Source organism: Homo sapiens, chromosome 1, assembly GCF_000001405.40.
Source record: "Homo sapiens chromosome 1, GRCh38.p14 Primary Assembly".
In the NCBI taxonomy this organism is placed as follows: Eukaryota; Metazoa; Chordata; class Mammalia; order Primates; family Hominidae; genus Homo; species Homo sapiens.
The window spans coordinates 84,594,911-84,621,557 of NC_000001.11; the positions used below are offsets into that span (position 1 = coordinate 84,594,911).

The 26,647-nt window shown below is 42.4% G+C and overlaps 1 long non-coding RNA gene across 1 annotated transcript, besides 2 other annotated features; it reads right to left on the reverse strand.

Moving 5' to 3' along the window:
• Positions 1–3,053: 3,053 nt before the first annotated feature.
• On the reverse strand, positions 3,054–26,121 carry LINC01461 (long intergenic non-protein coding RNA 1461). Its single transcript, NR_125761.1, has 3 exons — positions 25,847–26,121; positions 23,823–23,974; positions 3,054–3,186 (listed from the first exon to the last, which is right to left on the reverse strand). It is a non-coding gene; the product is annotated as a long intergenic non-protein coding RNA 1461 (long non-coding RNA).
• Positions 25,924–25,993: a silencer, noted in NCBI's record as "silent region_1022". NCBI's record gives its function as "represses an Ori minimal core promoter by ATAC-STARR-seq in GM12878 lymphoblastoid cells {active_cell/tissue: GM12878}" and the evidence as "EXISTENCE:reporter gene assay evidence [ECO:0000049][PMID:35858748]".
• Positions 26,084–26,323: a silencer, noted in NCBI's record as "silent region_1023". NCBI's record gives its function as "represses an Ori minimal core promoter by ATAC-STARR-seq in GM12878 lymphoblastoid cells {active_cell/tissue: GM12878}" and the evidence as "EXISTENCE:reporter gene assay evidence [ECO:0000049][PMID:35858748]".

Below are 26,647 nucleotides of genomic sequence, written 5' to 3' on the forward strand. Positions count from 1 at the left end.
AGTGTGGCAATTCTTCAGAGACCTAGAGGCAGAAATACCATTTGACCCAGCAATCCCATTACTGGGTATATACCCAAAGGAATATAAATCATTCTATTATAAAGACACATGCATGCATATGTTAATTGCAGCAGTATTCACAACAGCAAAGAAATGGAATCAACCTAAATGCCCATCAATGATAGACTAGATAAAGAAAATATGGTACATATACACAATGGAATACTATGCAGCCATAAAAAATGAGATTATGTCCTTTGCAGGGACTTGGATAGAGCTGAAAACCATTATCCTCAGCAAACTAATGCGGGGACAGAAAGCCAAATACCACATGTTCTCACTTATAAGTAAGAGCTGAATGATGAGAACACAAGGACACATTGTGGGAAACAACACACACTGGGGCCTGTCGGAGGGTGGAGAAGATAAAAGGGAGAATATCAGAAAGAATAGTTAATGAATGCTCGGCTTGATACCTAGGTGATGGGATGATGTGTGCAGCAAACCGCCATGGCACACGTTTACCTATGTAATAAACCTGCACATCCTGCACATGTAGCCCTGAACTTAAAGTTTAAAAAAAAGGCAACAAAAAACCTTTCCTAAAGATTTGATCTTACATCAAGTAAACCCCAATTATTTTTGAGGAGTGCGTCTTCCTTCAAAATAACAGATTATACTCTCAAAGCTTTAAAAATAAAACACCCACACTCATACACACAAACTGTGTCAGAGAAACATTTCCAGACTGTTAGTGGCACTTCTGTAAATTCTGTGAAAAGATTTTGTGTCCTATTATATTCTTGAAAAATATTTTGGTTTTTTAGGATTCAAAAAATGAAAGGTTTCAAAAGCAAAGACAGTAGCAAAAGCGGCAGCAGGTCAGTGACACCTCGAGCTCTGACACAGCAGCAGCAGCTGCCACCTCAACAGCAGCCTCCATGGCCACGAACTTGTGTTATGTGAAACATAATTTTCCATATAAAATTATATTTAATATTTAAAAATAATAGAGACATGATAGGGAATATTAGAATCCAATTTTTCTACTTGAATTTTTCTTTTTCATTATAGAGCCCCATGTTATGGTTGAGCATGAGAAAAATGGTTTCATATTAACAGTCCCTGATTACAGCATTGAACTTTATGATGAAAAACCATGCAAGGTCCTCCTTCCTGTACTACTTTAGTCCAAATAACCATCACCTCTCTTTGGGCTGGCTGTAATAGCCTTCTATTTGAACCTCTTATTCCCTCAAAGCAGCCAGAAGTATCTTTCAAAATCATAAATCAAATCTTACCACTTTCCAGGTGGGTGTGGTTGTGCACCCCTGTAGTCTCAGCTACTGAGGAGTCTGAGGCAGGAGACTCATTTGAACCTTGGAGTTCTAGTCCAGCCTGGGCAACATAGAGAGACCTCATCTCAAAAAATTGAAACAAATAACAAAAACAGAAACGAAAAATGAAAAAAAAATCTTACCACTTTCCATCACATTCCAAATTAAATACAGAGTCCTTACCGTGGCCTCTAATGCTCTTAAACTCTGGCAGGTCTGGTGTCTGGTGAGGGTCCAGTTTCTGCTCCCAAATGGCACCTTTGTGCCACATCCTCACATGGCAGAAGGCTGAAGGGCAAAGAGGGTTCAAACCATGTGTGAAGGCTATTCTTTAAGGGCTTTAATCCCATCCATGAGGGAGCAGTCCTCATGACCGGATCACCTCCTAAAGACCCCACCTCTTAATAGGATTGCTTTGGAGATTAAGTTCCAACATGAATCTTGGAGAGGACACTTTCCAATCATAATAATGAGGAAAAATGAATACTTTAGTAACAATTTCTTTGGGCCACAGACACAAATCAACCGATTTGACCACGTTTTTCCAATGAAATGACAACCTTAAATTGATCATTTGTGATGTCAGGTAGTCATTTTGGGATATTTATTTCTTGCAATAACCTTTTGATGGAGTTATTATGACTCCCATTTTACAAACGATACAACTGAAGCCTAAACAGGCAAAATGACTTTTTCATAGTCACACAGCTAATAGCGGTAGAGCTGAAAATGAAAATCTCCTGATCCTTGATGTTCTACCATCCCGGGTCCTACTTTAATTGGGAAATGGCAACCTCATTCAGCTCAGTGAAGGCTGGGTCACTTGCTAGGTTACAACTTCAGTGATCAGGGCACTTCAGTGGCTCTTCAGAGTTCATTTGTATATAAGTGAAGCTCTCCCTTTTGTAGACTTCTCTCTGTGTAAGTACAAACCAACCAGAGGCATGGCTATTGCTTTCCTGTCACTTAGGAATGAAATTAATGACTCCTTTATGTCCCATGCCAGGCAATCATCTCAATAGTTTGTGCAAGCTTAGCTTATCTACACAATATCAAACAGGCAATCACAGTTCTCCCATGATGCCAGGCAAAACAGAACTTTGTTTCTCCTACATAAAAGAGCACAACATCACAGGTTTAAAACCTCTCACCCTCAGTTTCATCTCACTATTATTGTGTTAAACATGCTTAATGAAAAATCTGGGCTGGGTTCTTTTCTGTCTTCCCACAATGAAAGTCACAGGAATGGAAACTCGGTTCCAAATGTTTCCATGTGGAAATGAAGTTGAGAGAAAGCAGTCTCATAAGTATGTGTTAAGTGCCTGTGGAAGCAGAGTCTCATGTTAGACGCAGTGACATTCAGGAACAAATCAGAACACATATTCTTGGCCTCCTGAGCTATCATTGTTGTTTGAAGAATGGAGCATTTACCATCTAATAAAAAAGTGAAAGCCTAACACACAAAATCAATTTTAAGACAAAGGCTAGGACTTCTCAATTTAGAAGAGGAGATACTTGAATTTTTCTCACACATCATCCCTCACCAGGGCTCCTGAGTAGAACATCTCAGACAACGTAGGACATAATTTGAAAAGTACTGATCAAATCAGTACAGCACTGATTAAAGAGCAGGTATTGAGTGCCACGCCCATTGGGTGTTGATCCAGGGAAGAAGCTGGGAGCCCTAGTCTTGGAACCCACCTGAGGATAGCCTAGAATGTCGTTCATGTACATAGTCTTCAACCTTTTTTTGCAAGGGCTGAGGTCCCTGGTCTTGTTCACAATCATCCTGCTGTACTTTTGGTCTTCTTGGATGGCATATCTGGTGGGCAAACTCCAAAACTGCCAACTGCAAACAAGAGAGAGAACAATCCCTCTGTCATCTGGCCATCCTACCCCGCAGCTGAGGGGAGTGTCAGCGAACCTGGAGCACCTCCCGCAGTTCACAGACTAGTTATGTTTTCTTGATGGTCACATGCAGCATGTGGAGGATACTACAGAATATGTTGATGATGGTTTTCAACATCTTTTCAGAAGCATAAAATTTCCAGCCTTCCGTGGTATGTTTAAATTTCACAGGGTCAGAGAGGTGGGCTGCCATCATAGCGGTTTGGGGGCCAGAAACATTTATATTTATTAATTTGAGGAGATCAAATCTAGAAGCAAGATTATGGGAAATGCTAACATTTTTCAAACAAAAGCGTTCGAAAGAAAATATGAGAAAACATCCTTAGTGTTTGAGAATTGTTTTTTAGTTTACTCTAGCAGTCTGTTTATTCTTTCATCCTATAAATATGTAGCAAGTATCTGCCTTGTGTTAAGTCCTGTAATGTGCTAAACGTTGGGATCACTTTCAAAGAGCTGGATGAGGTTTCCATGATGTCATACCACCTTGAAGATTTTCCAGGCCATTTAAGGCCTTCACTTACTGTAATTTCTCCCCAATTCCCCTCCACTCCATTTCTGAAAAAATACAAGCCTTTGGGAAATCCACCAGACCTGGGCAGAAGCCTAATTACCCTTTTGGAGACTCCCCAGGGGCTCCAGTGGTCCTCATTGTTTTGATCTCAGCCTCCTGACCTGGTTTAGAAGCAAACCTGGAGTTGCATGGGGTAGCATTTTATCATCTGCAGGTAGAGATCTGGCTAGTTGCTTGCATATGAGAAAAAGAGAACTGAGAGAGCCAATTTCAAATTGAGTTGGCAGAAACCAGTGTGCAGGAAGAACTATTCTGGCAGTTTTTAAATGACTTCCAAAGTATTTTGCATTTGAGAGAGCAACTAAACTGGTAAAAGAAACACTTGGATTGCACGGAATTGACTCAAGTGTAAAATAATATGGCTAATTTTCTCTTTTGATTTGGGATGATTGATGGAGTTGTGTGGAGGAGTGTGGGCAGAGAGAGCGTCTTTCTCTCCTTTCCCTGCCCTCCCACCAGTTCCACCTTACAGGACCTCTCTGGGCTCCCTTTAGGAATGCTATATAGACTTAGCTCTCCCTGCAAACTTGGGGGCGAGTCTCCTCCAGTGTTAACTCTGAAAAATTCAGGAGAGCATGAGTGTTTTAAGACCACAGGCTTTCTGATGTGTGACTCAGATCTGTGTTTAAAAGAGTCCATAACCCTAGAAGATTCTGATCATGATGGAAGAAGAATTTGCACTGTTCTCACTGATTAGACATGGAAAATCATTAGTTTCGCTTCTAGGGAAGAATTTAAACAATTGACAAAGCTATAGATTTTGCAGTCACAGCAGGGAGAAAGTGGAGGAAAAACATTTAAACAAGCAAAATTATTGATAAGAAATGGGCCCCTGTCTGGTTTCTATAACTTAGTTCTTCTGACTCATAGATGTTATAAAAAGCATCCTGCCTGAGTCAGAAATTTATTTTGGAGATATTACAGCTGCTCCCTTCCTGTTGAAAGGCATTTGTGAAAAAACTGTATATGACTAAAGACTTATATCAGCATTAGAAATGGTCGAGGCTAGGTGTACCCGTTATACTAGCACTTTGGGAGACCAAGGTGGATCACCTGAGGCCAGGAGTTCAAGACCAGCATGGGCAACATGGCAAAACCTCGTCTCTACAAACAAACACCCCAAAAAAGAAAAATTAGCCAGGCATAGTAGCACACACCTGTAGTCTCAGCTGCTCAAGAGTGAGGTGAGAAATTCACTTGAGCCCGGGAGATCAAGGCTGCAGTGAGCCATGATGGTACCACTGGGCAACAGAGTAAGACCCTGTCAAAAAAAAAGGAAGGAAGGAAGGAAGGAAAGGGAAAAATGGTCCAGAAGAAAGGTGAAAGTACAAAACAGAAGTGTGGGCCCTCTGGCTATTATCAATACTCAGAAAACTGCCTGTTCAAGAATTAGGCCAATTCCTGTTATATATCCAAGAGCTTGAACTATAGTCAATGGATGTTCTATATTTGTTTAGAATGATTGGTTGAGTGAGGAATTTCTTAAGAATAAGATTTGTTTATGCTCCCAGGGCTTGACAAGCCCCATTTTCATCTCAGGTCTCTAAACAAATTTTAAATGTAGACATAAACAATGGACAATTCATTATAGTATGCTCCATTATAGTACTTGATACACAGGTAGATAAATCCTGTTCTAAGGAGCAGACAAACAGACGAGGAAAGTTAAAACATACAGCTCTAGGAATTGTACTTTACTTAAGCCTCAATTTAGACAAATTAGACTATGTTAGTTCAGTTAGGAACAATAATATATTCTCATCACATGTGAATCTTCTGTAAGCTGTTTTGAAATAGAAGGTTAATAAAAGCTTAGAGGCCTAAGCATTCAATTCTGTTCTGGGATTTTCAACACTTACTATTTTTACTGGAACCCTTCATATGGGGTTTTCTTAAGACATTTTGGTGGTAGTAGAGGTGGTGAAATTAAGGCAAAAAAGAAAAACAAGTTGCTATTTCATTATAGGGGTGGGGACAGAACAAGGCTGAAGGGGCAGGGACCAGGGGTGAGGAAATGGGGCAGACAATGACCACTCATTGAGAACATTTTGGTTAAAAAAATGCCAATAATAGCACACAAATGGAGTAGGTGGGTAGTGTGACTCGGGGAACTCTGTGTGTTGAAGGTTTGACTTAAAACTATGCCCAACAGGAAGAGCATGGGGCTGGGGCTGGGGCAGGTTTGGGGGTTGGGAGGCAGAGGCGTTGTGGGGAAACACTGAAGGCTGAAGATGTCTGGAAGAGGGTGATTCCCGAGGAAATGAAGTCATGAGATGCAGGGCACGGGTGGAAGCTTTAATCCTGTGATCAGGGAAAAGGAGCAGCTTGTGGGGAAAGGCTTGGTCTTAGAGGCTGGGAACCCAGCACAGGCCTGCACTGTTTGCCCAACAGATCACCCAAAACGCACTTGGACTCAACTCAAGTGTCTTCCCTTCTGAAGCTCTGTGCCCTTAGAATCCAGTTTGGACCAGGTACGGCAGCTCACACCTGTAATCCTAGCACTTTGGGAGGCAGAGGCAGGTAGATTGCTTGAGCCCTGGAGTTCAAGACCAGCCTGGGCAACATGGCGAAACCCCATCTCTACAAAAAATACTAAAAATTAGCCAGGTGTGCTGGCATGTAGTCCCAGCTACTCAGGAGGCTAAGGTGGGAGGGTCACCTGAGTCTGGGGTGGTTGAGGCAGCAGTGAGCCATGATCATGCCACTGCACTTCAGCCTGGGTGAAAGAGCAAGACCCTATCTCAAAAAAAAGTCAATTTATGCCACATAGATCTGATCATAAGCTTTTGTCCTTAAGTACTTCATTGCTGTTGTTTGTTTGTTTGTTTTGAGACGGAATCTCACTCTGTCGCCAGGCTGGAGTGCAGTGGCACAATCTCGGCTCACTGCAGCCTCCACCTCCCAGGTTCAAGCAATTCTCCTGCCTCAGCCTCCCAAGTAACTGGGACTACAGGCACATGTCACCACGCCCAGCTAATTTTTGTATTTTTAGTAGAGACGGGGTTTCACCATGTTGGCCAGGATGGTCTCAATCTCCTGGCCTCATGATCCGCCCGCCTCGGCCTCCCAAAGTGCTGGGATTAGGGGTGTGAGCCACCGTGCCCAGCCCATTGTTTTTAAATTACAAAGTCTACACCGGTGAGCTAGCATGTGAAGCCCAGTTCTGTTTCTCACCATTTTCCTCTAACCAATCCTACCCACTATGCTCTGGCCTCCCAGTGGTTTCAGAGTATGGTCCCTGGACTAGCAACATGAGTATCACCTGAGAACTTGTTTAAAATGCAAAGTTTCAGGCCCTACTTTAGATTTAATGAATCAGACACTCTGGAGGAGGGATCCAGCAATCTGCTTCTTAACAAGGCTTCCAGGGCCTTCAGGTGCAGGCTCAAGTTTGAGAACCACTGGGCAGGTTCTGCTGAACTACTGGCTCTTCCCTACGCTCCACTGTATGACATCTCCATGCCTTTGCGCATGCTGTTCTCTCTGACCAAAAGTCTTTTCTCCCTTCCATTCCTGTTTTTTAAAAGTTAAATCAAGGATTATTCCCTCTATAATTCCTTTCCTGTTCAGCTCTTTCTTTCCTGATTATGGTGACTGCTACTGTCACCCTTGCATCCACGGAAACGAGTGAAAATGTCTATCATTCATAGGCCATGCTTTGTTGTCCTCATGGTTTATGTGTCTGCTTCCTCAAAAGACAGCAAGCTCCCCAAGGTAGTGACCATATTTGTCCTGGCACAGTGCTGGGGCTCAGAAAATGTTTGTTGCGTTGACATGTTACTGAAAAGCAAAGTGCAGAGAGGGGAGGGAAGAAAAGGGAAAGTGAAGAGTGTGCAAACGATCAACAACTACCACAATTAGAAAAGCTGGCACTGATTGAGTTCTATCTGTGTGATAGGTTCTGTGCTAATGCTTCGCAGGGACTGTGTCATTTAATCTTCCCAACAATTCTGTAGGTTTGATTATCCTCAATTAACAAGAGATGGAAATTAAGGCATAGAGAAGTTATAGAATGTACCCAAGTTGCCCCTTGGTGTACATAGTAGAGCCAAGATTCACACACACAGTTTTCCTCCAGGGTCTATGCTTTTTTTTGTTTTTCTGTTTTTTTGCTTTTTGAGGCAGGGTCTCACTCTGTAGCCCAGGCTAGAGTGCATTGCATGATCATGGTTCACTGCAGCCTCGACCTCCTGAGCTCAAGTAATCCTCTTGTCTCAGTTTCCCAAGCAGGTAGGACCACAGGTGCCACCACACCTGGCTAATCTTTAAATTATTTGCAGAGAAGGGGTCTCACTTTGCTGCCCAGGCTGATCTCAAACTCCTGGCCTCAAGTGATCCTCCTGCCTCTGTCTCCCAAAGTGGTGGTGTTATATGAGATAGAAAGAAATTATTTAGGTAGACAGTTAGGGTAAAGTGAGTCCCAGCAGAAGACTTTCCTTCTAACAAAAAGTAGCTCAGAAATAGCTCCCTTTCTAACCTCATGCAGTTCAAAGAAATCACTTCTAACAAAGAACAGCCCGAAAGATCAGGCTGTAAAAACACAGATAAACAACTCAGGCTCAGGAGATGGGGAGTCTCCTAGGTAATCACCAAACTTCACACTTATACAATGGACCCCAGTAAAAACAGTGGGCCTTAATAAGCACATTCCTTTCCTTTTAGGCACACTAAGATAGGGAAGCTAAAAGTGGACTGGGGGGAGATGCCAGCAGCTGCAGGAAGATGTCTGGGAACAGACACAGAAATTCTCCCTCCCAGATAAGCAAAACAAAGCAGCACAAAGCAGCGCAGACTAAGAGTCTGTCTACATGATCAAGGAGTGAGGTGAGAGCTGATAGAAAACTCTACTCTATGCACATAGCACACCTGGTTCCAACTAAATCTTTGGGCCTCAGTAAGATAAGACACCCCCTCCTCACTAGCCCATTTATAAAAACCCTGACATTTTTACTACAACTTGGCAACCCACTCAGGATCCCTCTCTGTGACAGAGAGCTGTTCTTTCCTTTTGCCTATTAAACTCCTGCTCCAGTCTCACTCTGTGTATGTGTGTCTGCGACTTCAATTTCCTTGGCCATGAGACCAACAACCTTGGTATTTACCCCAGACAATGAGGCTACTTCATTTGGGGGGCCCGTCCAGGATTTGAAGGTGAAATCATTGGAAGAGTGAGTAAAGGAGTGGACTCTCTACTTTCATTTCCGAGGCTTCTCGTCCCCAGTTTTTATTCTCTCAAAGAACTATAAAAAAATCGGGCATCTGTCAGCTAATTAATGAGTCACAAGGGCTAGCCGCTAATCTTAAAGACTCAGATGTGAAGCTTGCTGGGGAGGACTTAGTCAATCCTCCAGTGCCCTCAGGGTGCTGGGAACGTTGGCTCTGTCCAAACCAGTTTCCTTTCACTTTGCCATCACATGGGGCTGGAATAGGTCCTGGGGCAACTGAGGATTTCTGGCCAGGGCTACACCCTGGTGTTGTCCAAAGGCTCCTGGACTGACACCAGCCTCCGACTGCCTGACTGGGTGTCGGCCACAAGATTGCCAAGCTTTCCTATTGCAAATCTTATTTTCCTCCTTTCCTTTCCGAGGTCACCATGTCTCCCATCCCCTCTCTGTACACAATGCTGCGGGAATTTTTATAGCCCAGAGAAATAATTCAGTTAGGCAGGCTTAGCAACCACCTTGGCAACCAGAAATGCAGGTCAAGGGGATTGCTGTTTTTGTGACTTTCTACCGACAGGGGGATTTCGTGATCCAGATCTGAAAGACTATTTAACTCCTAATGATAGCACTTCCTGGGGTTGGGTAGAAGGTTATCTCCCCACCAATGAACATCCCTCTCTCCACCTAGGCTGTTTCTTTTCCCATGTGAAGAACCAGCACTACCCAGCCGGACTGCATAGTCCCTCTATGAGGCGAATTAACTTTCTCCTGCTAGGAGGCATGCTGTAGGAATGGCCTGCCACATGTCAGACTTCCCTCTCTGTCCATACGGAGGCCAAGTTACTGCCTGGTATTTCAAAGCTTGCAGCGTCACCTAGTGGAATAGGAATCCTTTCCATCGGCAACCTCGTCTGCCCTTTGCCAAAAGCCTCTAGCTTTCCACTTTTTCTCCCTTTTACATCCCTCTAAAAGAGATCAAACCTTATGTACCTCTGAGAGTGGGAGAACTCTGCTTTCAGCAGTGAGGAAAAAAATGTCCTCCAAAACCAAATTTTTGTCTCAATACTCTCTCCATTAGCAGAAAGGCTGCCATTTGACCCTTACATTCTCTTGAGACACCTATTCTGCTTGCAACTAGTATTTCGTCTAAATAGAAAGGGGATTTTATGTTTGGAAGTTAACTGGAACCACCATCTAAACATAAATTCTCTAGTCTGGTCCATAATAGCAGAGTATAAAGCTCAGCCCAGTACACTCCCTCCATTAAGGGGCCTTGCTTAAATGCAACTGTTACATAATCTCTCCTGATACCCATTCATCAAGGAGTCACACAGATCACACAAGTCTGAGAGGTCAAAGGGCAATTATCAGGCAAAGGACTAAGGTCACATGGGTAAGCGTGACTATCCCCATTACTTAGCTCCTCTGGGACCATGGTTTGAAGGTCACACCTGCAACCATGGGGAGGCACACACTGTGCTGGGACCCAGGGACCAAGGAGAGAGAACAGTCAGGGGGACACTCCCACTGTCATCCCCTCCACCCTGGGTCACACCAAAAAGAACAAGGAGACTGAGGGATGCCTCTCCTCTTGTCTCTTTTCCAGGATGGGTAGCAAGTCATTTTGGCTTGCACTCTGCTGGAGTACATTTTGAACTCCTTTGACACCCAAACTCTGAAGAAAAAGTGGCTCATTTTCTGTTGCACAAGGGTGTGGCCTTCTTACCCTCTCAGGAATGAACAGACCTGGCCAGCTAAAGGGAACCTTAACTTTAATCTTATCCAGCAATTAGATCTCTTCTGTAGATGGAAGAGCAAATGGTCCAAGGTTCTCTATGTGCAGGCTTCCTTTGCCCTGCGAGACAACCCAGACCTTTGCAAGCATTGCAAAACCAACTCAGCCCTCTTAGCAATCATATCAGACAGGTCTGTGGAGAGTAGTTCCCCTAAGTCAGAAGAGCAAGTTTTGGAGGAACCATTAGAGGCAGCTTCTAAGTGCCCCAGTCCTTCCAGTCCCCTTTGTCCAGGGCCCCCTCCAGCTGCACCATCAGCTCCTCCAGCTCCACCATCTCCAAAGCTCCCCACTGCCCAGACTTCACTCCTACCCCTACAAGAAATGCCAGATGGAAGGGGCACCATTAAGGTACTTATTCCCTTCTCATTGCAGGACCTTAGGCAGATAAATGGGCTGATTTCTTGATAACCCTAATAGATATATAGAGGCCTTCCAAAATTTAACTTAAGTGTTTTACCTCACATGGAGGGATGTTGTGCTGTTGTTTCTCAGCCAAACCCTCACTGCAGCTGAAAAGCAGACAGCTCTGCAAGCAGCAGAAAAGTTCGGAGATGAACAACATGTTCCCTATAGTGACCAAAAAGGAAAAGGGGAGATAAGGAAGGTGAGGAAATAACAGAAAAAAACAATCTCAATAGGGAGAGAGGCTATACCTCTTGACAATCCTGACTGGAATCCCTGTGACCCCATAGATGAATGGAAAAGGAAATACTTTTTAATGTGCATATCAGAGGGCCTAAGAAGGACTAGGACCAAACCTCTTAATTACTCTAAACTGTCCTTATTGAATCAGAAACCAGATAAAAATCTCCCTACCTTTTTGGAAAGGCTGAGAGAAGCTTTAATAAAACACACCTCCCTGTCTTCCAATTCAACAAAAAACAGGTTCATCACTCAGGCAGCCCCTGATATCAAAAGGAAGTTGCTGAAACAGGCCATGTCTAAAAATCTTTCTAGTTTTTCTCACTCTCAAGTTGAAACTTTGCAGTATGTAAATGACACTCTCCTCTGTGCCCCATTCAAGGATGTCTCAGGAAGGCACTAAGACTCTTCTCAATTTCTTAGCTAAAAGGGAGTATAGGGTCTCAAAATCTAAAGCTCAGCTCTGTCAAACTTCAGTAAAGTACCTAGGCCTAATCTTATCAGAAGTGTGGGGGATCGGTCAGGGTGGTGAAAAAACTATAGGGAAAGGACACAAACCTTCTGAAAGGTCGGAAGTTTCTGCAGAGCCCCAGGGAAGAATGGCTGAAGACAGCTGTTCTATAACCCTAAGGCAGAGGGCAAGGAGTAGGTACAAGGGAGTGTGGGGGAATTTATCTTAAACCGGTTTGTTTACTTATGTTGACCAGGAACTGACCTTGGATCATCCCCATGCAACATTCCCTGAAAGGGGAACAATAAATGTTAATTACCTGCAGGTTGTGTTGGCTCCAGGTTTTCGGCATTGTGCCTGCACTGAATAAAAGCAAACAGCTCCAGCTTCTCGGGACTGCTGTCTGGCCACTGGAGCCAGGCAGTCACCTAGCTGCTCTTACACTGCATACCTGTGTCTGAGTACTCATTTCACCCATCGGCCAAGGTCTGTGGGACAGACACAGCACAGAAGGAACCAGAGTACCAGGTGAGGAAAGGATTAACCCCGTTTCCTTTAAGAGTTAAGAAAATTATTGGGCATTACTGAATTTTGCAAAATGTGGGCATTACTGAATTTTGCAAAATGTGGGCACCAGGGTATGGTGAAATAGCTCATCCTTTATACCAACTCTTAAAAGAAACTCAAGCAGCTCCCTAACTTGGGAACCTAAAACACAAAAGCCTTAAACCAGCTAAAGCAAGCCTTGCTTAAAGCACCAGTTCTCAGCCTTCCCATAGGGAAGGTATTTAATCTTTATGTATATTGGAAAGGAAGAAAATAGCCCTGGGAGTTTTGACTAAGACTGGAGGTCCAGCTCTACAGCCAATGGGTTAACAATGGGGAATAACTTAACTGTTTAGCTCCACGCAATATAACAAGACTACTGTCCTCTAAGGAAAGTCTGGCTAACAGACAATTGCCTCCTCAAATATCAAGCTTTGCTGCTAAAGGGATCTGCAGTCCAGTTGAAAACCTGCCACTTCCTGAGCCCAGCCACTTTCTCCCAGAGAAAACTGGAGAACCTAAACATGATTGTGAACAAGTAGTGGTGCAAACTGGGGGAAAAATGGTAAGAATCACTGTTTATCTTCACTGTAAAGTTTTATTTGTGAAAAAGGATTTTCCTAAAGAGCACTCAGCTTAATTCAAAGTGGATATCAAACCTATGGGTATATTTTAAAGGCCTTTATGTTTTTCTCTTTATAGATCTTGTTTTCCTGGAAAAGGTCTTTTTTTCTCAGTCAACTGAGAAAACTGTGACTTACCACTCTTGGTGCATGCATGAAAGACCCTAGAATGACTTCTGGTAGCCTGGGACTCCTTGGGAAAACAGAAAAGGTGCCACAAATCCCATTTTGGGAAAAATCTGTTTTCCTCATGGAACACCTGGAATTAAAGGTGAATAAGTAGTTCTCAAAATCTATCTTTGTCTTCCAGCTTTGCTTGTTTATTAGGCCCTGGAAACTGTATTCCTAGCCCTGTTCTTAAAGGGTCTCACCAGGAGGCTAATAATCCAATTGGGAAATTAGCAAATGAAAAATTTTAGAACCACTGGATCTTTTTCTGTTTGTCTGTGTGGTTATATATGTGTTATGTGTGTAATGTCTATTTGAAAAGAGCTCCAATTAATTGGACTAAGAAAAATAAGCACTTAAATAAAGTATTTTTAAAGAAAAAGTAAAAGCTGTGGTACCTTTCAGTTCACACAACTTTAATCTTCAAAAATAAAAACAGTCTTAGAAACTATTGGTAAAATACAAATGTCTTCAGGATGTAAAAATGTGATCTAAATTATGCAGGTCAGATACTAGGTTTGATAAATGTTTTAAGGTTGTAACTGCTTTTTTAGCCTTTAAATATTGTCTACTTGCCTGCTTCACAATTGGTAAGGCCTGGGAACATATGGAAGTAACCATGCCCCTAATGATGCTGAAAGCAGTCAAACTTTATCTGCATCTAGCACATAATTAAAACAACCTACCAGGTTTTACATCAAAGTTAAAAATTGCTAAGTGTTACCATTATGACATGTAATGAGACTAGTGAACATGGATTTGCATGCAAGGTGTGTAAAAAAACAGTAAAAGCTGTTTTTAATTAAAGATAAGAAGGCATGAAAATGTACATTTTGCCTAGCCATAAAGGATTGTCTTAAATAAAATAAAGCAGAAGGTTTAAGCAAATTGTAAAAAGATTGTAAAAACTAATCTTGCAAAGGAAACTCTGTGTATGAACATATTAACTAATTTCAAAGGGGTATTATATAGTTTTATAAATTAAGGATTAAAATGCAAGCACAGGGTTTTCTTAAAATGCTGATCTACTCTTTAGCAAAATTTGTAGAGGGTCATAAAAGGTTTGTGTAAATCTCACCTCATGGTCAAACTGGTTAAGATTGAATAGGATTGTCTATAAAGTTTCATTAAAAATCAGGGTTAACATTAATAGCAAACAAATGCAAGGGTGAAATTTAACATTCTCTCTTGAATAGGATTTTCATGTAATAGAAAGGGCTGATGAATGGTTTTTGCTTTTTCAAATTTTTGACTCATAATTTTGGCAAAACAAAAAACTTACAGTAATCTAATATCAAGTGTTTTAAATTTTGAACATATTTAACAGGCTTCCCAAAATCAAACTTTAGTTTCAAGGTTGTCTTTCCTAGCCCCTAGCTTTTTGTTCTGCACAGGGCTCCTAGAACATCCAGAAGAGAGGTAAATAGGATTATTTAACTTGTTTAGGTACATGGAATTGCCAAAATGATGTCTAATACTCTTCAGGTTATATTTTAGGGAATAATATTAACATATGTTCCAAAACTGTATGGAATGTCTAAGGTACTAGTGTCTGAATAATACGCGCTATTAATCACAATTAAGGTTGTTATGTTAGGTTATTGTAAGCCACAGAAACAACCAAATTTGTCAATCATGTTCTTGACTGTAACCACCCTGGACATTTTGTCATTTACAAACAATTGTTGTCTTGTTTGAATCTTTTTCTTAAAAAAAATAGTTTCTAATCAGCTGTGGAACTTACATAGGTGCTCTTAAATGCAGGTTTTTGATTAAAAAATGTATAGGACTCATACAAAGCTGAAATGTTTATGAATAACAAGCAGATCAAGAGTTAATGGAATGGGCTGAACTAATAGAAAACTAAAGCAATATTCTTGATTTATGCTTGTAACACTGGTGATCCTTATTTTGTTTTTCAGAGTCAAGGAAATTTTCTTAAAAGCCTTTAAGAACTAAGTAAACTATACTCCTGTAAACAATGTTTGGAGCATGTTTGTTTCTCTCTGCCTAGTTCTTCTAGAATTTGGAAACTAGTTATAAGTATTCTTGAATTACAACTATATAGTTATTTGCATCAGTGCAACAAGAATCCATTTTCTTTTGCAACAAAACACAATTGGAAAAACTGATTGTTTTACCAAGGCTTTGACTTCAAGGCTTTGACTTGCAGAGCCAATGAAAGCCCTTTGGGAAAACTGGCTGCATACCTTGTCTACACAGTCTCTGTACAGTGTTCCTGACCTGTGGTGCGTAAAGAATGTCACTTTCTAACAGGCCCGGAAACCCCATGCTCCTGGAACCTCAAGAAGAAAGAAGTTTATCCAACTCACAGGTATTTGAGGGTACAAACTCATGGCTGGGCTTGGCTTCAAAAAGTCCTATCCAAGATTCCTTGTGGAACAGAGTTCTATCAAAACCAATCAAAATACACAGAGGTAATTATTCTTGCTGTACTTTTTGCAGATAATCAGGCCAAGTATAGGACTAAAGTTTATTCTGCAACCAGCTCAGTCCTATCATAAGTTGTTTTTCATAAAAATGAGAACTGGAGAGAGAAATTATGTTCCACACTTACTGTACATCTGTGATATAGTTTGGCTCTATGTCCCCACCCAAATCTCATCTTGAATTGTACTCCCAGAATTGTGGGAAGGACCCAGTGGGAGATAATTGAATCATGGGGGCAGTTTCACCCATACTGTTCTCATGGTAGATAAGTCTCATGAGATCTGATGGTTTGATAAAGGGAAACCTGTTTTGCTTAGCTCTCATTTCTCTCTTGCCACCACCATGTAAGACATGCCTTTTGCCTTCCACCATGATTGTGAGGCCTTCCTATCCAAGTGGAACTGTAAGTCCATTAAACCTCCTTCTTTTGTAAATTGCCCAGTCTCAGGTATGTCTTTATCAGCAGCGTGAAAATGGACTAATACAATCTGTCATTGACTTCTAGTCTCATTAGTTGTTTGTAAGTTCTTGCCAACATTTTAAACTAATCATGCTTATTCCTGTAAACCAATCATCAATCTCCAGCTGTGGCTCAAAGGAGACAGAAAGGAATGGGTAATATAAAAATCTGGAACAATGTGCTAGTTCTGGGCACTTATGCTGCAAATCCTGCCAGGTAACCTATAACCCCAAGGTTTCCTTTTCTGGCGGGGACAGTAAGACCAAGGGAGCTAAACAAAGCCAAGCCCCATACACCCAGTTACAACAGCACAACCCATCTAAATGGCTCACAGATATCAAACAAACTCTGTTGTCATGGTTATGGCCTATAGTGCCTCACTAATAATGGTAGTCTTATATATATTTGGACCCTATATTCTAAACCTCCTTGTAAAGTTTCTCTTCTCACCTAGAAACCATCAAGCTTCAGATGGTGCTGCAAATGGAGCCAAAAAGGAAACCACCCTTCTACCAGGGACCCTTAGATCGACCCCAGGAGGAGCCCTAGATGCTGTTCCCGTACCACGCCCTCTCCAGCGGGAAGTAGCCAGAAGAAGTTGTTGCCCAATTCCCCCTAACAGCAGTTAGGGATTCCATTCCTGAGGGGGAAATATGTTATACAAGACAGACAGAATTTATTTAGGTAGACAGTTAGGGTAAAGCGAGTCCCCAGCAGAAACTTTTCTTCTAACAAAAAGCAGCTCAGAAATAGCTCTCTTTCTAACCTCATGCAGTTCAAAGAAATCACTTCTCTTCTAACAAAGAACAGCTTGAAAGATCAGGCTGTAAAAACAAACAACTCGGGCACAGAAGGACAGGGGGAGTCCCCTGGGTAATCACCAAACTTCACACTCCTACAATGGACCCCAGTAAAAACCGTGGGCCTTAATAAGCACATTCCTTTCCCTTTAAGCACACTAAGATAGAGAAACTAAAAGCGGATTGTGGGGAGATGCCTGCAGCTGCAGGAAGATGTCTGGGAACAGACACAGAAACTCTCCCTCCCAGATAAGCAAAACAAAGCAGCACAAAGCAGCAAGGACTGAGTCTGCCTATGTGATCAAGGAAATGAGGTAAGAACTGATAGAAAACTCTGCTCTATGCACATAGGACACCTGGTCCCAACTAAATCTTCAGGCCTTAGGAAGATAAGACACTCCCTCTTTTTTTTCTTTTTTTTTTTTAAGAGAGAGTTGCTCTGTCGCCAGGCTGGAGTGCAGTGGCATGATCTTGGCTCACTGCAACCTCCGCCTCCCAGGTTCAAGCAATTCTCCTGCCTCAGCCTTCCGAGTAGCTGGGACTACAGGTACGCACCACCACACCCAGCTAATTTTTGTATTTTTAGTAGAGACAGGGTTTCACCATGTTGGCCAGGATGGTCTCGATCTCTTGACCTCGTGATCTGCCCGCCTCAGCCTCCCAAAGTGCTAAGATTACAGGTGTGAGCCACCGTACCTGGCCAACCCTGACATTTTTACTAAAACTTGACAACCTGCTCTGGACCCCTCTCTGTGACAGAGAGCTGTTCTTTCCTTTTGCCTATTAAACTCCTGCTCCAATCTCACTCTGTGTGTGTGTCTGTGACCTCAATTTCCTTGACTGTGAGACCAAGGACCCTGGTATTTACCCCAGACAATGAGGCTCCTTCAGTGAGATTAGAGGCATGAGCTACCACATAGCCGGAGTCTACATACTCTTAACCCTCTGGTCTAAGAGAGGAGGCAGCTTTGGAGCCATTATCAATATTCACGAGTTCGACAAACATTGCCTCAGCAACTCCACCTTGCCAGACTGAGAATACAAATAGAAATGCAGAAAGGGTCAGATGCAATGACAGCTGCTTATATTCCTGTTCTCAAGGAGGGCACATTTTATCAGGAAAAAGAGATCTGTAATCAATAAATATGATTCCTCTAAGAATGTTAACCAAAGATTGTTCAAAGTGCTACTCAGAGCCAGCAGCAACCAGCATGGATTTGCTTTGCTAAGGATGATGTTGGATTTGGATATTGAAAGAGTAGCATAAGCTCACAAAGCAGAGAAAGGAGGGAGGGAGGAAGATAAGATTCAGGGCAGAAGGAAATGCAGAAATGACTTAAAGGAAGCCTTACCATCTTGGCAAGTCTGGCAAAGAATGACTTATCTCATGAGGCTGGATTGAGACATGTTTACCAGACACTCTGGATCGACTCACTCAACATCTGTTCCCAGTGTTCTGCCTGTTCTACAGATCTAGAAATAAAGCCACGTTTCCAGAATTCCTTGAAGCTATGGTTCTGGATGTGATTCTGCCAAACAGATCTACTTTGGAAGGCCTACCAGTCTGTGGTATGCAGTGGCAGAACAGTTATTTAAATTATCACTTGTAGGCCAGGCATGGTGGTTCATGCCTGTAATCCCAGCACTTTGGGAGGCCGAGGAGGGTGGATCACCTGAGGTCAGGAATTTGAGACCAGCCTGGCCAACATGCTGAAACCCCGTCTCTACTAAAAATACAAAAATTAGCCAGGAGTGGTTGCAGATGCCTGTAATCCCAGCTACTCAGGAGGCTGAGGCAGGAGAATCTCTCGAACCCAGGAGCCAGAAGTTGCAGTGAGCCAAGATCGCACCATTGCACTCCAGCCTGGGCAAGAAGAGTGAAAATCCATCTCAAAATAAATACATTGTCACTTGTAGTCACCTGGGAGAAAAAGTATCCATGGAAATCAAAACGCTGGAAGGCCAAGTGGCTATGGTAATAAATCTTCATGGCAAGAGTGAATAATTCAAAGATAGTGGGGTTGGCTAGCTTCTTGAATTCTTATGAACATAAAGAAAGAAAAACATAAGCATGGAGTGACCTGTAGCATCCCAGATCTGGTACCAAATTCTGTGTCAATTAGGATTAGGCACAGCAGCAAGGGACAGATACTCAGAATAACAGTGGCTTGACCAAGTTATGGAAACACCAGGGGTTCAGTCTAGGTACTGACGCACAGAAAGCCAATCACTGAGACAATAAGTATTGCCAAGGAAGAAGGCTTTAATCGGGTGCTGCAGCCAAGTTATGAGAGCTCAGTCTCAAATCCATCTCCCTGACTGACTAAATCTAGGGGCTTACATAGCAGGGAAGATATGTAACAATGTTTAAGAAAACAGGAACTAGGGAGGGGCAAGGAGGCATCTGGTGTCAGTTCTCTTGATACTTTTTTGAGAGGCCTGAAGGTCCTTTCCTGAGGAGGGAACTCAGATAAAACAAATGCAAATTTCAAGCTAGGGGCCATTTCTATGTTTATCCCAAAACAACTGTTTATGGAACTGTTGGGCCCATTTCATTTCTCACAGAAAGTTCCAGAGGTAGGTACTCAGGCTGTGGCAGTTCTGCTCCATAGTACCTTCCAGCTTGCTGCCTCTCCTTCCCTTGGGTGTGATCCTCATGTTCATAGTCCAAGATGGTAGCCATCATGTCTGTATTCCAGGCTATAGGATGGAGAAGGCAGCAAACAAAAAGGGAGGGCAAAGGACATGTGTTTCCTCCCTCCTGAAAAAGTTCTTGGAAACTCTCACATGATACTTCTGTTTACATTCCACTGTACAGAACTTTGTCACCTGGCCACATCTAACTGCAAAAGAGAGGACATGTAATCAGCAATCACTATTTTAATCAGGAAGATGAAGAGAATGTAAAATTGGGAGGCAATCATAGGATGCATGGTAGAGAGTATCAGAGGAGGTAGCTGGGATGATGGGCACCAGATGGGAAAGGACTTGATATGACAAGCCAAGGTGTTTGGACTTTATCCTACTGGCAATGAAGAATCATCAGATAGGTTTAAAGAGCAGAGAGATATAAACTGAGCTGTTCCACTGCCATCTCTCTGACAGCTATATGAAAGGGTTCTGGCGCAGTAATACCAAACCCCAGAGACCTGTTAGAAAGCAGTTACCCCAAAATGACAGTTTCTTCAATAAATGGTGCTGGGGAAGCTGGATATCCACATGCAGAAGAATGAAACTAGACACCTATTTCTCACCATATACAAAAATCAACTCAAAATGGAATGAAGATGTAAACGGAAGACCTAAAACTATAAAACTACTAGAGTACAACATAGGAGAAATGCTTCATGACATTGGTCTGGGCAAGAATTTTTTGGAAAAAACCTCGAAAGCACAGGCAACAAAAGCAAAAATAGACAAATGGGATTACATTAAACTGTAAAGCTTATGCACAGCAAAGGAAACCATCAACAAAGAGGCAACCTACAAAATTGGAAAAAAATGTCTGCAAACTATGCACTGGTGTAATGGGTTAATATTCAGAATATGTAAGAAATTCAATTCTAGCACTTTGGGAGGCCGAGGTGGGTGGATCACCTGAGGTTAGGAGATCGAGACCAGCCTGCCCAATGTGGTGAAAACCCGTCTCTACTAAAAATGCAAAAACTAGGTGGGTATGGTGGTGGGCACCTGTAATCCCAGCTACTTGGGAGGCTGAGGTAGGAGAATTGCTTGAACCCAGGAGACAGAGGTTGCAGTGAGCCAAGATCACACCACTGCACTCCAGCCTGGGTGAAAAGAGTGAGACTTCATCTCAAAAAAAAAAAAGAAAGAAAAAAGAAACAGAATATGTAAGAAATTCAAACAACTCAATAGCAAAAGAAAAAAAAAAGCCCATATAATCCAATCGAAAATGGGAATAAGACCTGAGTAGACATTTCTCAAAAGAAGACATACATACATATATATATATATATATATGTATATGAAAAAATGCTCAACATCAGTAATCATTAGGGAAATGCAAATGAAAACCACAATGAGATATCACTGCACCCCAGTTAGAATGGCAAAAAAAAAAAAAAAGACAAAAAATAACAATTACTGTTGAGGATGTGAAGAAAGGGGAACTCATATGCTGTTGGTGGGAATGTAAATTAGCATAGACACTATGGAAAACAATACGGAAGTTCCTCAAAAAATTAAAAATAGGACTGCTGTATGATTCAGCAATTCCACTACTGGATATATATCCAAAGGAATGGAAATCAATAAGTCAAAAGAGATATTGGCACTCCCATGTTCACTGCAACACTATAGTAAGGGCTTAGCACAATAGCCAAGAGATGAAATCAAGCTAAGTATCCATCAGTGCATGAATGGATAAAGAAAATGTGAGATATATATATATATATCTCCATATATATGCAATACTATTCAGTCATAAATAGGGACAAAATCCTGTCATTTGCAACAGCGAGGATGAACCTGGAGGACATCATGTTAAGTGAAATAAGCCAAGCACAGAAAGACAAATGATCTCACTCACATGTGGAATCTATAAAAGCTGATCTCATAGAAGCAGAGGGTAGAACAATGGTGACCAAAGGCTCCGGAGGGGATGTTACAGTTAGATAGGAAAACTAATTTCTCGTATTCTGTACATAGTAGGGTGACTATAGCTAATAACAATAATAACTGCTTTGTACATTGCAAGATACCTAGGAAACACCTTTAAAGTTATCACAAAAAAATGATAAAGGCTTGAAGTGATGGACAACTATTCTGATTTGATCATTACATAATATATACATGTATTGAAACATTACACTGTACCCACAGACATGTATACTTATTATCAATTATAAATAAAAATTTTTAATGGAAACAAGAAAGCAGTTGCCCTAGTCCAGGTGAGAAGTGATGAGAGCCTGAAATAGGGCAGTGACAATGGGATGGAAACAAGAGAATGGAAGGGTGAGATATGCTAGGGTAGGAGGGGACAGACTTTGGTGACTATTAGACAATGGAGGTGAAAGAAGAGTGTGGAGTTTAGGCTGACACCAGGGTTTTTGGCTGGAGCAGTTTGGTAAATGACACTGCTACTAACCAAAATAAAGGAATCAGAGAGTGAAGAAGGCTGCTGATAGCAAGCAGAATGTGATTAGTTTGATTTGGAATATTTTCAGTTTAAAGTGCTTGTTGTGTGGAAGATGTTTGGCGAGCAGAGAAATACATGTGTCTGGAGCACTGAAGAGAAGTCAGGGCTGGAGGTACCAATTCAGGAGGTGTGCGACTCTAAGTGACAGCTGCAGCCACAAGTTTGAGATGGCCTGACCTAGAAAAGAATGAGGGAACAGAGTCAAGGATGAAGCCTACGGAAGCACCAATGTTGTGTGAGTCTTCTGCAGAGTCCTTTCTGATGGAAGGTCCTTTAAGAAGCGCAGTTCAAGAAATCTGAGGCTGCAAATGCATGCTGTTTCCCCAGACATCCAGGACCTGGATCAGTTTTCCATTTCAAGACAAGATAAAACTGCTAAAGGGTTTTTCTTTCCCTGGTTGAAATACTTTAACACCAACTAATTTCAAGTTTGGAAAGAAAGTCATGTTTAAGATTGAAGTTGTTATTTCTACTCTGTAATACAGTAGAGCCTGTGCCCAGAAAACCTCCTGCCTGTCTCATCATCCAGGGAGCTTCCTTGTGTTTATTCTACCAGGCCTGCGGGCAGGACAATGTCAGCAGGTTGAGATATGAGCTACACGTTGCAGGCATTGACAGATCAGGAGAGCTCTCCTACAAACTGCATGCCCTTCTTAATTGCTTTTAAGCATGGGAAGATGAATGTTGTCCTAGTATCTGCTTCAGTTCTAGAAAAGGTTAAAAAAAGTTGTTTGTATATAGTACTCCTTTCATTTCAATTGATTCTTATTGTGCTTCCCCTCAACTCATTTAAGTTGTTGGCTAGTACAACCCACCTTCAAAGCACTGCTTTTTTGAAATTCAATGATTATAATTTGGAAGAGACTTTAGACCAAAGAGTATGATATCAAAATTCTCAGTTCTTTGGGTGGTCACTAGCAGAGTGCCTTCAACAGACAAAAATCCAAGTAAAAAGACCTTCAATTATAATACCTAGAAAGTACAGTAAAATTCAACGGAAACAAAAACAATCTCATCTAAAATTAAAGTAAATGGTAGTATACCTGTCTAAATTAGAAAGTGTGGTTGCAGGATTAGTATAAGATCCCAGAATTAGTATGAATTCAGCCAAATATCTAACATTTCTCACCTCAATGTTCTTGATACTGTTCACTGATACTCAGCATCATGGCCCTAAAATGTTAAGACTAGGTCCCATCAAATAAAGATTCAATTATAATCACTGGGTTGTAGTGACTAAGCCAGGCAAATGGGCAAAATGCAAGTTGGTAACAATATTTTCATTTTGGAAAAATGAAAAATTAAGGAAAATATGACAAAATATTCTATAAGGTGAATTTCTTTTTTAAGAGCCTTTGTTCTGAGATCATGTCCATTTCTTGTGGTCTACATGTCTTTCTTTTGTAAAAAGAGTAGTGCCAGTAAATGGCAGGTTCCTAATAATTTCATTCGACAAACCAAAAGCTGGCATACCATTGCCAATTCCTAAAGTTGTTTTGGAATTTTACTTGGTGAAATGTTAAAGTCTGAGAATGTCCCTGGAGTAATGGCTCCCTGCTGCTGATCATACTGGCTGATGAAGTAGATACTCTACAGGAACTTACTAGAAATGGTTGATCCGCAGGGAATGAAAGGCTTACACAGGGCTCTTGTTTGTTTCCTCCCTCTGTTACCAAAATGTTAACCATTTTAATTTACCTTTAAAATTGTGATTAAAAAATACATGTATTTAAAATAAGTCACTTACATGTACAAAGTCAAACCAGAACACCCCTGCCCAGCAGCATGCCCAAAAGGGGAGTCTCTCAGGCTTTGCACACACGCTTCTCACAAATGCCCCAGTGCAGGCTTTGGTTTAGGGTTCCATGTGCTAAGAATACAGCATCAAAGGCTTTTCTGCTGGGAAGGAAAGGAAGAGACTTGTAATGTCTATATAGCTCCCAAAGACAAAAAGACTCTAGGTTGATTAGAACAAGCTTCAAATCAGAACTTGGGTTTTCTGCCTTCAAAAATCAAAGAAAATTTTAAAAATTGCTTTTGAAGATTCAAAAAGAAACAATGCGGCCGGGCACAGTGGCTCATGCCTGTAATTCCGGCATTTTGGGAAGCCGGGGCGGGCAGGTCGCTTGAGGTCAGGAGTTTGAGACCAGCCTGGCTAACATGGCGAAACCCTGTCTCTACTAAAAATAGAAACATTATTAGCTGGGCGTTGTGGTGGGCGCCTGTAGTCCCAGCTACTTCGGAGGCTGAGGCAGGAGAATCGCTTGAACCCGGGAGAAGGAGTTTGCACCTAGCCGAGATCGGAGATCATGCTCCTGCACTCCAGCCTGAGCAACAAAGCAAGACTCCATCTCAAAAAAACAAAAACAAAAAACAAAACAAAACAGAAAAAAACAAGACAGAAAGAATGCCCCTTTGTAAAGGTTTTTTTAAATTCACAGAGACTTGATAGCATCACCATTGTGTTTGTTATTTCCCAGAAGCCAGCAGGGAACGTTCTCTGCTCCTGGAGCTGGTAAAAATACAGGAAGTAGCCAAGGGCATTATAATCATTAGTCACTGAGATACAAACCTTCAGTTCTGTTACCCAGGGAACCTAAAGTGCTGCTTGGTGTAGGTGGGAGATGATTAATCTCTCCGTGCACGATAAAAAGACAGAGCTGCCACCCGGAATTAGTCTGTTTATGTAGAATGAGGACAGCCCCAAGAGTAGATGGGATTTAAAAATAGTAACAATTCTCCCCCAACCCCAAATACACCATTTCTGAATGTTGTAGAACATTCAGGAAACAAGAATCATTCATAATTCTACCCCTAGAAGTTACCAATGTTAACATTTTGATTAATACTGTAAACAGAAAAATCAAAGTCTGTAAAATATCTGAAAGAGAGGCTTAGTCAAGCCAGTATGAGTAACCTCCGCCCCCGGAAAACAACCCAAGAAGCCTTGAGTAAGTGGTCCCGAGGCAGCCGCATGTGTTTGGTTTTATACATTTCAGGAGGGCAGGAGTTACAGGCGAAGACAGAAATCAATACAGGGCACATATACATTAGTTCAGCAGAAAAGGCAGGCTATCTTGAAGTAGGGGGCTTACAGAGGTAAGCAGGGGTTTTATAGATGATAGGCAGATTCAGAGATTTTTAAAATTTGCATTAGAGGAGTAAGGCTCTAAAACTTGGAGTCAGCAGAAAGGACTGATTTTTAATTTTTATTTATTTATTTATTTATTTATTTATTTATTTATTTATGACAGAGTCTTGCTCTGTTGCCGGGCTGGAGTGCAGTAGCGCAATCTCGGCTCACTCCAACCTCCGCCTCCCGGATTCAAGTAATTCTCCTGCCTCGGCCTCCCAGACAGCTGGGACTACAGGCGCTTGCCACCATGCCCAGCTAATTTTTGTATTTTTAGTACAGACGGGGTTTCACCATGTTGGCCAGGATGGTCTCAATCTCTTGACCTCATGATCCGTCCGCCTCGGCCTCCCAAAGTGCTGGGATTACAGGCGTGAACCACAGCTCCCGGCCGAAAGAACTGATTTTTTAAATACACGTTATTTGAATTTTTCACAACTACATATTATTATGTATTATCTCCCTCCCTCCCTTCCGTCCTTCCTTTTTTGCAAAACCAATGCAATCACTCTTGGGGTCTCGGGGGCAATGGGATCACGTCAGGCTCAGGCGCTCCCCTGGGCGCACGCTGGGTGAACAAGCCGCCTCCGGGCGAGGGTGGAGCTCCAGCGGGGAGGCTCTGGGCGCAGGAGGCTTACCAAGAGGAGTCCGCGGCAGCCCGGGCCTGCCCCGCGGGCTGCTCTGGGCTACTGGGATCTCACCCCGCGCTCGGCGAGGCGGGCCCGCGGCGCCCTCTGCAGGGAAGCGGGTGGCGCACGCATGCTGGGCGCTCCAGTATTTGTGGCGGGGTGGGCTTCTGGTTAGGGTAACATCTGCATCTCCGCTTCACAGCGTACAAGGTGCCTTCCACTTTGCGCTGGCTCTCCCGCGACCCTGGGATGCCTTCTGTCCTCCACCGGAGAGGACGCTGAGAATCGCCGTTCCTGGCGAAGGGCTAGAACTCACCAGCGCCCGGCTCCATAGCGCCCTCTGCCGGGGCCGAGGGGCGGGGCACGCGGGCGGCCGAGCGGGCGGGCAGGGAGGGCCTCAGATCCCCCTATCCCCGCGGGAGGGGCTGCCAGCCTGGGTCAGCCACGCGTGGCTTCCTGAGACTGGGTTATGGCTATTTCCCACCTCCTTGCCTCTCCCTCCTTATTTCCCTCCACCTGTGTGTGTGTGTGTGTGTGTGTGTTTCTAAAGCAAAAACAATTTTTTTTTCTATTCTCCAAAGTAATGCGTATTCATTATAAAAAAATTTTTTTGGGGGGGTAGAAAACACAGCATAAAAAAGAAAATGAAATACCTTTAATCTCATCATTCAGAGATAAACACATGTTTAGGGTATTTTCTCCTAGTGTCTTTTTCTATACACAATTATATATCATGGTAAGTATATATTTAAACCAACCAGGCAATGCTGTCGAGGAGTCAGGCCCCGTGTCGAACTGGCGCCGTTGAAG